The sequence below is a fragment of the Homo sapiens genome, chromosome 8 (genome assembly GCF_000001405.40).
Source record: "Homo sapiens chromosome 8, GRCh38.p14 Primary Assembly".
Lineage (NCBI taxonomy): Eukaryota > Metazoa > Chordata > Mammalia > Primates > Hominidae > Homo > Homo sapiens.
Window position 1 is genome coordinate 126,140,115 of NC_000008.11, and position 14,498 is coordinate 126,154,612.

Sequence of the window (14,498 nt, forward strand, 5' to 3'; positions counted from 1 at the left end):
CTAGGTTCCCATAACATCCTATGCATGTTTCCATGACATTTCACCTGAAGTATACAGCCACTGGATACATCCTAGTAAATGGCTTAATACTAGTCTACTAGAATTTTCATAAGAAGATATCACAAACTGAGTGGCTTAATTAATAGAAATGCATTTTCTCACAGTTCTGGAGGCTGGAAGTCCAAGATCAGGTTGCTTTCTGGTAAGGCCTCTCTTCCTGGCTTATAGATGGATGCCTTCTTGCTGTGTCCTCACATGGCCTTTTCTTTGTGCATGCATAAATGGAGAAAGAGAAAAAGAGAAAGAGAGAGAGACAGAGAGAAAAAGAAAGATTTCTGATCTCCTTCCTCATCTTATAAGGACACCAATATGTTCTTATTGGAACCCCACTATTAGGATATAATTAACCTTAATTATCTCCTGAAGGCCCTGTCTCCAAATACAGTCACATTGAGGGTTAGGCCTTCAATATATTAATATAAATTTTGGGAGAGACACAATTTAGTCCATAACAATCTGTTTTTTAAAATAGATATATAAAAATGTGTTCCATTATTGGAACACTAATACATATATATGTATGTATTACACTGAATCTCATGAGTACATGATTTCCGTCTATAATCCCCAGTTTCCAACATGTAATAATCACTCGGCATATATTTCTTGAATGAAAGAACAGAGAAACAAACAAACGAACATCTTTCATTGACTCTTAGTTGTGTATGGAATGTAATCTAAATTCCTTTATCCACACACAAAGACCTCCATTGTTTGGCCCTACTTACTTCTCCAAACGTGCCTCTATCTTTGTCCTAAAGCAGGATTCTTAAACTTTAGTCTGCATAACAATTCCATGGAAAGCATGTTGAAAATATAAGTTTCCAGGTACTAGCTCTAGGGAGTCAGCTTCTAGCAACCCCTAGACACATTAGGGGTTTCTGAATGTGAATGTGCAAACATTAAGAATGTAAGAAACACCAGTCTAGACAAATCCTCAACTCCTGGTTATAATAGATATCTATTTATATCTTGAAAATTGCTCCACTTAACTCTGGCCTTTTACCTTTCATCACACACAGTAACTTCAGGTTTGCTGAAGAATTAGTCCCCAGACAGGTACTTTTCTTCCCATTTCAGTGTGTAAGGGAGAAGTATTAACAAGTTGGTTTCCAAGGTCAGGTTAGAATTTAGTTGCTCCTTGTGAGGAGTCCCGGATTAGACTAGACTTGCTCAGAAAGACAGGGTTAATCATTTTGATCCTAATAATAATTTTAAAAATCCATCAGTCAAACAAATAATGAGCCAGATTAATTCTGTCTGTACTGTGTTGACTTTATGGAGCTGCACAGGCTAAAGAATAGGAGAGGTATCTGTTAAAATCATAGTTTGAGGGGATTTAACTCTGCATCCTCCTAAAGAGGGAAGATGATAACAGCAAAACTTTGGAATCTGGAAAGGTTCTTAACTTGAGAATTTGGATAATTTACTAGCTTTTGGGAAATCTGAGAAATGACAATATTGGCCCTGTAGAACTCCCAACAGGCTTAGAAAAAATACGTATATTAGGTTGGGGCAAAAGTAATTGTGTTTTTTGCCATTAAAAGAAATGACAAAAACCACAATTACTTTTGCACCAACCTAAATAGAAGTATTAGGTAAATCTGTAAACTCTTGACTACAACTGAAATCAAGAGGTCTACCTAAAAAGCTTCTAAGCCTAACAGTTCACTAGGTTATTCTGTGAAGTTGTGTGACACGTGAAAGGAAAATAAATCTTTGGTCCCCAAAATCACTAAGTTAAAGGGAAAAGTCAATCTGGGAACTGCTTAGGGCAAACCTACCTCTTATTCTATTCGAAGTCATCCCTCTGCTCACTGAGATAAATGCATATCTGATTGCCTCCTTTGGAGAGGCTAATCAGAAACTCAAAAGGATGCAACAATTTATCTGTCACCTCCCTGTGACCTGGAAGCCCCCTCCCTGCTTCGAGTTGTCCCATCTTTCCAGACAGAACCAATGTATATCTTACATATATTTATTGATATCTCATGTCTCCCTAAAATGTATAAAACCAAGCTGTGCCCTGACCACCTTGAGGACCTTGTCATCAGGACCCCCTGAGGCTGTGTCATGGGCGCACGTCCTCAACCTTGGCAAAATAAGCTTTCTACATTAACTGAGACCTGTCTCAGATTTTTGGGTTTCACAGACAACATTAGCAAAATAATGGAGATTTATTCTATGGAAAGTAAAAATGCAACGGATCTCTGAACTGTTGGGAAATTTAAGGAAAGTGTAATTATCCGTGTATCAGGGCTTTCATACAGACAACATGGGAATTAAGTGAGAGATTTCAAGGTGATTCTTTTACCTCTACCTCTGCTTCTCACTTGACTCTTTCAAAACGTTGGAAGTAAGACTCAAACCCCAAGCAGAACACTGAAAGAGTCTTCTCTTGGGGTGAGGGTGGGGTTGGGAGAAGAAAGATAAGGAAGTAGTTGAGAAACTACTGGTTTCCCAACTAAGCAGTCTAGGCAGATGACTCTACAATGAAACACATGGTTGATAAGCTCTATCCACATAAGAAGAGCTTCCCATTGTTTTTAGTGCCCCACTCTTAAGTCTAAATAGGAAACACAGAATCTTTAGGCAATTTAGAAAAGTCTCTGACATGAAAGTTAGAGATAAAAGCAAACAGAAAAAAAGAAAAAGAAAAAAAAGCCTGTTGAAAACAGAAACTATGCAGGGAGATAAACTCTACCAAAAATAAAAGAAAATAAAAATTGTCAATATCCCCAGAGAGCTAAAATAACATATTGTATACGCAAAATAAGTTCAGAAGATGTTATAAATAAATTTTTCAGTGGCATAAAAGAAAGAGCACTTGAACATAAATTTAATTTTCTCAGCAAGGCAATTTTTACTTCTTTAGAAGGGTGTGACTCGTAGATGGAGCAATGGCAAGAGCACACCTGAACAAGGGAGGGGAAGGGGTTTTTATTCCTCACGCAGGTAGCTCCTGCGTGTCATTAACTTATTGGCTAGGGTTGGACCGCACAGTCTAAGCTAATTCCGATAGGCTATTTTAAAGAGAGCAGGGGTACGACTAGCCAGAGTGGTGGGGTGAGTACTTTGGTAGGAAGGGGGGTTACAGAACAGGTGACTCAGGATGATTCAGGTTAGAGAAGGTGACCAGGGGTGACTCAGGATGGAGCAGGTGACCAGGGGTGACTCAGGATGGAGCAGGTGACCAGGGGTGACTCAAGTCAAAGCAGGTGACCAGGGGAACAGATGTGAACTACTGATTAGAACTGGCATGAAAGTTGTTTACCGAAACTAGAGACAAGGGGGTGAAGAGAACAAGGAAGTTAAACTTTAAAATGGAGAACAAAGAATAAGAGAGCTGAACATACTGGCATACTGATTCTTTGAAGAGAAACTTGGAGTTCACTATATTTAACAGGAGATAATATAAAAAAGGGAGAACCCAGGAATAAGAAATATCCTTAGAAAGTTAGAAAATGATTAAAATGCTACAGGAAGGTTGGAAGGTAAAGTTGATGAAATCTCCAGAAAAGTAGAAAAAAGACATAGACATGGAAAATTGGGAGAAAGGAAATAAATAGAGGAACTGTCAAAGAGGCTTAATATATTAATCAAGAGTGTCAGAAAGAAAGAACAGAGTAGATGTAAGGAAGGGAATATTCATTAAAATAATTAAATAAAATTATCAGGACTGGAGGTCTTTAGTTTTCAGGTTACAAAAGCTCACATAGTGCCTAGTACAGTGGAAGAAAATAGACCACATCAACATACATTATCATGCAAATAATAACACCAGAAACTAAATTAATATTCTAAAAGTTTCCGAAAGGAGAGAAAAAACTAAAGATAAAATATAAAGGAAAGCCTGGACCTGTAATCCCAGGACTTTGGGAGGCTGAAGCAGGTGGATCGCTTGAGTCCTGGAGTTTGAGACCAGCCTAGGCAACATGGAAAAACCCTGTCTCTACAAAAAATACAAAAGTTAGCTGTATGTGATGGCACACACCTGTGGTTCCAGGTATTCTAGAGGCTGAGAGGTGGGAGAATTGCTTGAGCCCAGTAGGCTGAGGCTGCAGTGAGCTGCAATTGTGCCACTGCACTCCAGCCTGAGTAACAGAATGATACCCTATCTCAAAAAATAAATAAATAAAATAAAAATAAAAAATAAAAGAAAAAGAATTTTAAAAGCAACACCAGACAATATTGTTTGTGGTGAATTTATTGAAAATAATATTTTAAAAGCTAAGACAATTTTAAAATAAGGCCATTATTAATATCAAAGGAAAAACATTGTGCAGGAAAGGAAAAGCAATCTCATGTTTGTAGTCAAAATAAAGTAAATATTAAGTATTAATTGAAGCAAATTATGATATAGCTATTATAGGAGGATTGAGTTGGGCGACAGAAAGCGTACTATGTGGAGTTTTGGAGTGGTGGTTAGAAATAGATAAATTCTCAATATTAAAAAATTTCAAAAGAAACAATCAAAACAGATGAAAGTAGTTGCATCTTTGGAATATAAAATGAAAGGTGAGAGTGAAGGAAGGCTGGGAAGAAAATGTTATTTTTATAATAAACCTCTAAAAACCCTTTGACTCTTTAAACAAAAACTAAGTCTGAGATTAGAGGGAGAAAGAAAGAAAGAGAAAGAGGGAGACAACAAGAGGAGAGAAACTGTCACTTGATAATTTATTGAATTTGTGATTGTTATAGAATATTTAATTTGTTTCTTTTTTTAACTTTTATTTTAGGTTTGGGGGTACATGTGAAGGTTTGTTACATAGGTAAACACATATCATGAGGGTTTATTGTACATATTATTTTATAACCCAGGTATTAAACCCAGTACCAAATTGTTGTCTTTTCTGCTACTCTCCCTCCAACCATTCTCCTGCCTCAAGTAAACACCAGTATCTGTTGTTTCCTTCTTTACATTTTAAGTTCTTATCATTTAGCTTCCACTTATAAGTGAGAACATTATTTGATTTTCTGTTCTTGTGTCAGTTTGCTAAGGATAACAGCCTCCAGCGCCATCCATGTTCCCACAGAAGACATGATCTTGTTCTTTTTTATGGCTGCATAGTGTTCCATGGTATATATGTACCATAATTTTTTATCAGACCTGTCATTGACGGGCATTTAGGTTGATTCCATGTCTTTATTATTGTGGATAGTGCTGCAATGAACAGTCGTGTTAGAGACTGTTATGTATCTTTATGTTAGAATTTATATTCCTCTGGGTATATACTCAGTAATGGGATTGCTGAGTCTAATGGTAGTTCTGCTTTTAGATCTTTGAGGAATTGCCATACTGCTTTCCACAAAGGTTGAACTAATTTATACTCCCACCGACAGTGTATAGTGTTCCCTTTTCTCCACAACTTCACTAGCATCTGTTACTTTTAAACTTTTTAATCATAGCCATTCTCATGTGAGATGGTATCTCATTGTGATTTTGATTTGCATTTCCCTAATTATAAGTGATACTGAGCTTTTTTTGATATACTTGTTGGCCTCATGCATGTCATCTTTTGAGAAGTGTCTGTTTATGTCCTTTGCCTACTTTTTAATGGGGTTGTTTTTCTCTTGTAAATTTAAATTCCTTATAGATGCTGGATATTAGACTTTTGTCAGATGCATAGTTTGCAAATATTTTCTCCCATTCTGTAGGCTATTTCCTCTGTTGATATTTTCTTTTGCTGTGCAGAAGCTCTTAAGTTTAATTAGATCCCACATGTCAATTTTTGCTTCTGTTGCAATTGCTTTTGGTGTCTTTGTCAAGAAATTTTTGCCTGTTCCTATGTCCAGGATGGTATTGCCTAGGTTGTCTTCCAGTGTTTTTATAGTTTTGGGTTTTACATTGAAGTCTTTGATCCATCTTGAGTTGACTTTTGTGTATGATGTAAGTAAGGGGTCCAGCTTCAATCTTCTGCATATGGCTAGCCAGTTATCCCAGCCCCATTTATTGAATAGACAGTGTATTCCCCATTGCTTGTTTTTGTCAACCTTGTCAAAAATCAGATGGTCATAGATGTGCACCCTAATTTCTAAGCTCCCTATTCTGTTTCATTGGTCTGTGTGCTTGCTTTTGTACCAGTACCATGCTGTTTTGGTTACTGTAGCCTTGTGTTACAGTTTGAAGTCAGGTAACATGATGCCTCCAGCTTTGTTTCTTTTGCTTAGGATTGCCTTGACTATTTGGGCTCTTTTTTTGGTTCCATTTAAATTTTAAAATATTTTTTTCTAGTCCTGTGAAGAATATAACTGCTAGTTTGATAGAAACAGCATTGAATCTGTGAATTGCTTTGGGCAGTATAGCCATTTTAATAATATTGATTCTTTCTATCCATGAGCATGGGATGTTTTTCCATTTGTTCATGTATTCTCTGATTTCTTTGAGCAGTGTTTTGTAATTCTCATTGTAGAGATCTTTCACCTCCCTGGTTAGATGTATTCCTAGGTATTTTTTTCTTTTTGTGCCAACTGTAAATGAGATTGCCTTTCTGATTTGGCTTTTGGTTTGGCTGTTGCTGTATAGGAATGCTAGTGATTTTTGTACATTGATTTTGCATCTTGCAACTTTGCTGAAGTTGTTTTTCAGCTGGAAGAGCTTTTAAGGTGAGACTGTGGGGTTTTCTAGATATGGAGTCATGTTCTCTAATTTGTTTCTTATAGGCCACCTGTCACAGAAATGCAATTTGTAAAATGGCAGCATATGTTTATGTAATTCACCATATAAACAGAATAGTAAGAATTTAATATTTGTTGATAATTTAGTTAGTTAAGCTTTTAAACTTAATTTTGTGTGAAGTACTTAACAAAATTTTAGTTAAATGTATTACTTTTGTTAAGGATATAAAATAAAATATGCAAGCATTGGTGGTATGTAGAGACTGAAGGTCAAGACTATCATTTTATATTTCATTTCATTCATATAAAATACTTTCTAAGTTCCCTTTTGATTTCATCTTTGACCAGCAACTTATTTAAAAATGTGTTTTTTTCTCTAATATTTGGATTATTTCCATATATCTTTGTGTTATTGATTTCTGATTTAATTCCATTATGTTAAGAGATTATAATTTGTATGATTGAATGCATTCAGTCTTAAAATTTATGGTATATATTGGTGCTTGTTTTATGCACAAGATAAGGTACATTTCAGTAAATGTTTCACATGCACTTCAGGAAAATGAGTATTCTGCTGTTATTAAGGAAATTATTCTATAAATATCAATTAGATCAAACTTGTTGATAATGTTGCTCAAGTTCTTATCTTCTACTTTTTAAAATAAATGATTGAGAGGAGAGTATTGAAGTCTGTGACTGTAATTGTGAATTTTTCTTTTTTTGCTGTTCTATCAGTGCTTGCTTCTTATATTTTGAAGATCTTTTATTAATTGTGTATTTTTGGATTTTTATATCTTGTTGATGAACTGATCACTTTATTAACAAAAAATGACTTTCTTTACCTCTGGTAATGTTCTTTGTTCTAAAATCTACTTTTTCTATTATTAATATAGCAACTCCAGCTTTTTTAAAAACTAGTGTTACCATGATTTATCTTTTACTATGTTTTAAATTTTAACCTATTTGTGTCTTTATATTTAAAATATGTTTCTTGTAAGTAGAATTTAAATGATTGTTCTATTTTATTCACTCTATTATATTCTGAATTTTAATTGGAGTATATGGATCACTTACAATTAATGTGCTATTAATATTTTGTGTTTAGGTCTATTACCTTGCTGTTTGTTTTCTATTTGCTCCACTCATTCTTTTTCTCCCTTCTTTTGGATTAACTGAATATTTTTATCACTCGATTTTATTTCTTCATTGAACAAGTATAACTTTTTTGTTGTTATTTTAGTGCATGCTTTATAACTTAAAGGATGCATTTTAAAAAAAATATTTCAATAGGTTTTGGGGGAACAGGTGGTATTTGGTTACCTGAATAAGTTCTTTAGTGGTGATTTCTGAGATTTTGGTGCACCCATCACCTAAGTAGTGTACATTGTATCCAATATGTAGACTTTTATCCCTCACCCACCTCTCACCCTTTCCCCCAAAAGTCCACTGTATCATTCTTAAAAGCATACATATTTAAATTACCACAGTCTACCTCCAAGTGCTATTATACTACTTTGTATGACAAAAGAACTTGATGACAGTATCTTCCATTTCTCCTTCCCTTAGTTTCATGTCACTTTTGTAATATATTGTACTTTTGACATGTTATACTTCCCACAATACATTGTTATGATATCTGTTTAAGGAATCCATCACCTTTAAACATTAATAAGAAAAATGTTGTACATTTTCTTATGGAGTTACCATTCCCAGTGTTCTTGTTTCTTTGCATGGAACCTGATTTCCATCTGGTATCATTTTTCTTTTTCATAACAGACTTCCTTTAACATTTATTCTGGTGTAGGTATGTTGGAAATTAGTTCATTCAGATTTTATATGTCTGAAAAAGTCGTCATTTTGTCTTCATTTTTGAAAGATAGTTTTCCTGGAAATAGAAGATGCTACTCCACTGCCTTCTCATTTGCATTATTTCTATGAAAACATTTGCTAACTGGAGCTCTCTCTGTTCCAGAAAGATCTCTAGGCATTCAGAGTACCTGCTTGCTTGGTCAAGCAGCCTGAATCACCCCACCCCTCCTGCGTAGAGATCTTAGTGCTGGGAGACTCTGCTTCATCCCCACGAAAATCTCCAGGCACTAGAAGCACCACTTACCAGGATCAGCAGCCTGAGCCATCCCACCCTTCCTGTGCAGAAACTCTGATGCAATGGAGGACCTCTCCACTCCAGGCTCAGGCAGATCACCAGGCATTCAGAGCACCTGTTCACCTGGTTCAGCAGCCCTAGCCATGCCCCCTTTTTGGACATAGATCTTGGTGCAGTGGGGCTTTCTCTGCTCAATGCCCAGGCAGATCTGTCAGCATCTGGAGTACTTGTTCACCTGGATCAGCAACCTGAGACACACCACCATTCCTGGACATAGATCACGTGGCAGAGAGGACCTCTCTGGTCCACACCCAGACAGATCTCCAGGCATCTGGAGCATCAGCTAACCTGGATCAGCAGCCTGAGCCAACCCACCCCTCCTATGCAGAGATCTTAATGCAAGGAGACCCTCTCTGCCCCAGGCTCAGGCATATCTCCAGACACCTGGAGTACCTATTTCCCTAGATTAGAAGTGTAGGCCATCCCCTGAATCTGGAGTGGGGAGGTTGCAATGACCAGCAACTTATTTAAAAATGTGTTGTTTTTTTCTCCAATATTTGGATTATTTCCATATATCTTTGTGTTATTGATTTCTGATTTAATTCCATCATGTTAAGAGATTATAATTTGTATGATTGAATACATTCAGTCTTAAAATTTATGGTATATATTGGTGCTTGTTTTATGTACAAGATATGATACATTTCAGTAAATGTTTCACATGCACTTCAGAAAAATGAGTATTCTGCTGTTATTGAGGAAATTATTCTATAAATATCAGTTAGATCAAACTTGTTGAGATTGCACCACTAGACTTTGGTCTGGCAACAGAGCAAGGCTCCATCTCAAAAATAAATAAATAAATAAATAAATAAATAAATAAATAAATAAATAAAAATAAAAAATAAAATAAAATAGAAGTATAGGCCATCCCCATCCCTGTGCAGAGAACTTGGAGCCAAGGATGTTTCCCAGCGTTATGCCTAGGCACACCTCTGGACATTTGGTGGCTGCCCACCAGATTCTCCCTCTGTGCTGGTGCCTGCCATCAAGGGAATTTTAGGCAGACCTGCCCAGTTCAGCTCCATCTTTTTTGGGCCCTGACCCTCATGGGCTGAACAGAGAGCATTCTAGGAATCAGCCCACTTCCTGATGCAACAGAGAGCTTCTGACATTAAACAAGAATCAAGTATATACCCAGTCAGGTTGGCCACAACTGGCTCTGATATATAAGTGCCATCTATGGGCTGGCAGTTAAAACTTCACAGCTCAATATGAAACCTGTGGAAAGAAGTGCATAGGGCTATAAAAGCAAAGCCAAAAAGACCCTACCGAGCATTTGCTACAGTCACCACACCTGGGGCAGGGGAAGGAAAAGAGAAAGAAAAAATAATAATATTACAGGGAAATAAAGAAAATGAAAAAAAATTCTACCTGCATGAAAATAATTACAAAAAGTAAAAGTGCCAGTGTCTCCAGATAAGAAGAAACCAGGACAAGAATTCTGGCACCATAAAAAAATCTGAATGTAGTGACATCACTAAAGGATTGCACTAGATTTCCAGCAATGGTCCCTAACCAAAACAGAATCTCAAAAATGACAGATAAATAGTTCAAAGCATGGATTTCAAGGAAGCACAATAAGATCAAAGACAAAGTTGAAAATCAACACAAATAATCTTCTAAGCTAATCCAGAAAATGAAGAAAGAGATAAACATCTTAAAGACAAATCAATCAGAGCTTCTGGAATTGAAAATCTCACCTAAGGAATTTCAAAACACAACTGAAAGCTTCATTGATAAACTGGTCCAAGCAAAAGAAAGAATTTTAGGGATTGAAGACAGGTATTTTGAACTAACCCAGTCAAAAAATAAAGAAAAAAAATTTAAAAAATCAACAAAGTCTTCAAGAACTAGGGGATTATGTAAAGTGACCAAACCTTGGCATTCCTGAGAAAGGAGGGGAAAAGTAAACAACCTGGAATATATATTTGAGGGAATAATTTAAGAAAACTTTTCTGATCTTGCTAGAAAAGTAGACATATACAGTAGCATATGTTAGTATATGCTAGGAAAGTAGACAGATACAAGAAATCTAGAGAACACCTGCAAGATACTATACAAAATAAACATCATCAGACTGCCCAAAGCCAAAACTAAAGAAATAATCTTAAAGACAGCTAGAAAGAAATGGCAGATCATGCACAAAGGGAACTCCATCAGGCTAACGTGGATTTCTCAGCAGAAACCTTACAAGCCAGGAGAGAGTAGAGGCCTATTTTCAGCATTCTTAAGGGAAAGAAATTCCAGCCAAGATTTTCATGTACCATCAAATGAAGCTTCATAAGCAAAGGAGAAATAAAATATTTTTCAGATAGGCAAGCGTTAAGGGAATTTATTACTACTAGACCAGCCTTACAAGAGGTTTTTAAGGACATTCTAAACATGTAAATGAAAGAATGATACCTGCTATCACAACAACACACTTAAGTATATAGTCCAACAGATCCTATAAACCTTATATATAAAGCAACCACATAACAGAAACTACAAAGCATTCAGCTAACAACTACACAATAGGATCAAAAACTCATTTCAATATTAACCTTCAGTGTAAATGGTCTAAATGTTCAACTTAAAAGGCATAGAGGAATAAGCTGGATAAGAAAACAAGACCCATCTGTGTGCTGTCTTCAAGAGACCTATCTCATATGTGACAACACCCATAGGCTCAAAGTAAAGAATTGGAGAAGGATTTACCATGCAAATTGAAAGCAAAAAAGAGATGGGTCACTATTCTTATGTCAGTAAAACAGACTTTATACCAACTACAGTAAAAAAGGACTAAGAAGGATTTACAAAACGATAAATGGTTCAATTCAACAAAACGATATAACTATTATAAACATAATGCACCCAACATTGGAGAAGACAAAGTTAAGTACTTTGTTATAAGACAAGTACTTGTTCATAAGGCAAGTACTTCTAGACCTAAAATGCCACACAATAATACTGGAGGACTTCAATACACCACTGAGAGCACACTGAGAGCATTAGATAGATCATCAAGGCAGAAAACTAACAAAGAAATTCTGGACTTAAACTTGACACTTGAACAACTGGACCTAATAGACATCTACAGAATAGTCCACCCAGCAACCACAGAATACATTCTTCTCATTGGTGCATGAAACACATTCTAAAATCAACTATATTCTGAGGCATAAATGGAATCTCAATAAATTCAAAACAGTTGAAATCATATCAAGCACACAGTTAGACCACAGTGCAATAAAAATAAACATCAATACCAAGAAGACCTTTCAAAATTACACAAGAACATAGAAATTAAACATCTTGCTCCAGACTAGCTCTTGGATGAACAATACAATTAAGGCAGAAATCAAAAATTTATTTGAAGTTAATAAAAATAGAGACAAACTTACCAAACTCTTTGAGATATACATAAAGCAGTGTTAAGAGGGAAGTTTGTAGCACTAAACACTTTAATCAAGAAAACAGAAAGATCTCAAATTAACTATCTAACATGGTAGCCAGAGGAACTAGGAAAAAAAGAACAAACTAACCCCAAAGCTAGCAGAAGAAAAGAAATAACTAAAATCGAGTGGAACTGAACAAAATTGAGACCCCAAAATACATACAAAGAACCAATGAAACCAAATGTTGCTTATTTGGAAGAATCAACTAGATTGATAGACTGGTTGCTAGATTAACAAAGAAAAAAAGAGAAAAGATGCAAATAAGCACAGTCAGATACATAGAGGTGAACATAGATATACATACAGTCAGAACATAGAGGTTATGTTAAAATTGATCCCACAGAAATACAAAAGATCTGCAGAGACCATTATGAACAGTTATACTTACAAATTAGAAAATCTAAAGGAAATGAGTAAATCCCTGGAAACACACAATTTCCCATGATTCAATCAGGAAGATATTGAAACACTGAACATACCAATATCAAGTTCCAAAATTGAACCATTAATAAAAAGACCTACCAACCAAAAAAAGCCCTGGACCAGATGGATTCATAGCCAAATTCTACCAGATGTACAAAGAAGAGCTGGTACTAACACTACTGAAACTATTTCAAAAAAAAACAAAAATCAAGAAGGAGGGACTCCTCTCTGACTCAGTCTATGAAGCCAGCATTACCCTGACACCAAAAGCTGACAAAGATGCAACAAAAAAGGAAATTACAGGCCAAGATCCCTGATGAACATAGATGTGAAAATCCTCAACAGAATACTAGCAAATCAAAATCAACAGCACATCAAAAACTTAATTCACTATGATCAAGTAGGCTTTATTCTTGGGATGAAAGCCTGGTTCAACACACATGAAACAATAAATGTGATTTACCACATAAACAGAATTATAAACAAAACTACATGATTATCTCAAAAGATGCAGATAAAGCTTTTGATTAAATCCAACATATTTTCATAATAAAATCCTCAAGAAACTAAGCATCAAAGGAACATCAAAAGAGCCATCTATGAGAAACCCAAAGCCAACATCATACTGAACAGGTAAAATCTGGAAGCATTCCCCTGGAGAACCAGAACAAGACAAGGATGCCAACTCTCATGACTCCTATTCAACATAGTACTGAATGTGCTAGCCAGAGAAATCAAGCAAGAGAAAGAAATAAAAGGCATCCAAATAGGAAGAGAAGAGGTCAAACTATTTCTCTTCATAGACAATATGATTTTATACCTAGAAAAAAACCCTAAGGGTTCCACCAAAACGCTCCTGCAACTTCAGTAAACTTTCAGAATACAAAATCAATGTACAAAAACTAGTAGCATTTCTATGCACAATAATATTCAAGCAGAGAGCCAAAACAAGACTATAATCCCATTTACAGTAGCCATACAAAAACATAAAATACCTAGGAAAACATCAACCAAGGAGGTAAAAGATCTCTACAAGGAGAACTACAAAATACTGCAAAAAAAAAAAAAAAAAGGTGACAAAAAAATGGAGAAAAGTCCATAGTTACTGATCGCAAGAATCAATATCATTACAATGGCCATACTCCCCAAAGCCATCTTGTAGATTCAATGTTATTACTATCAAAGTACCAACATTATTTTTCAAAGAATTGGAGAAAAACTATTCTAAAATTCATATGTAACCACAAAAGCGCTCAAATAACCAAAGCAATTCTAAGCAAAAAGAATAAAGCCAGAGGCATCACATTACCTGACTTCAAACTATTCTATGAGGCTACAGTAACTAAACAGTATGGTACAGATACAAAACCAGAAACATAGACCAATGGAATAAAATAGACAACCCAGAAATAAAGCTTCACACTTACATTTATCTGATCTTTGAAAAAGTTGGCAAAGATAACTGATGGATAGAGGACTCCCTGTTCAATAAATGGTGCTGGGATAGCTGGCTAGCCACATGCAGAAGAATAAAACTGGACCCCTACCTTTTATCATCTCCAAAAATTAACTCAAGATGGATTAAAGGTTCAAATGTAAGAACTCAAACTACAAGAATCCTAGAAGAAAACCTAGGAAGCACCATCCTGGAATTGGCCTTGGCAAAGCATTTATGATGAAGTCCTCAAAAGCAATTGCAATAAAAACAAAAACGGACAAGTGGGGCCTAATTAAACTAAGGGGCTCCTACACACCAAATAGACTATCAACAGAATAAACAGACAACCCACAGA

General features: G+C 35.7%; 1 annotated feature.

Moving 5' to 3' along the window:
• Positions 2,866–4,065: an enhancer, noted in NCBI's record as "P300/CBP strongly-dependent group 1 enhancer chr8:127155224-127156423 (GRCh37/hg19 assembly coordinates)". NCBI's record gives its function as "activates an origin of replication core promoter dependent on BRD2, BRD4, P300/CBP, MED14 and CDK7 cofactors, with strong dependence on P300/CBP, by STARR-seq in HCT116 cells {active_cell/tissue: HCT116}" and the evidence as "EXISTENCE:reporter gene assay evidence [ECO:0000049][PMID:35650434]".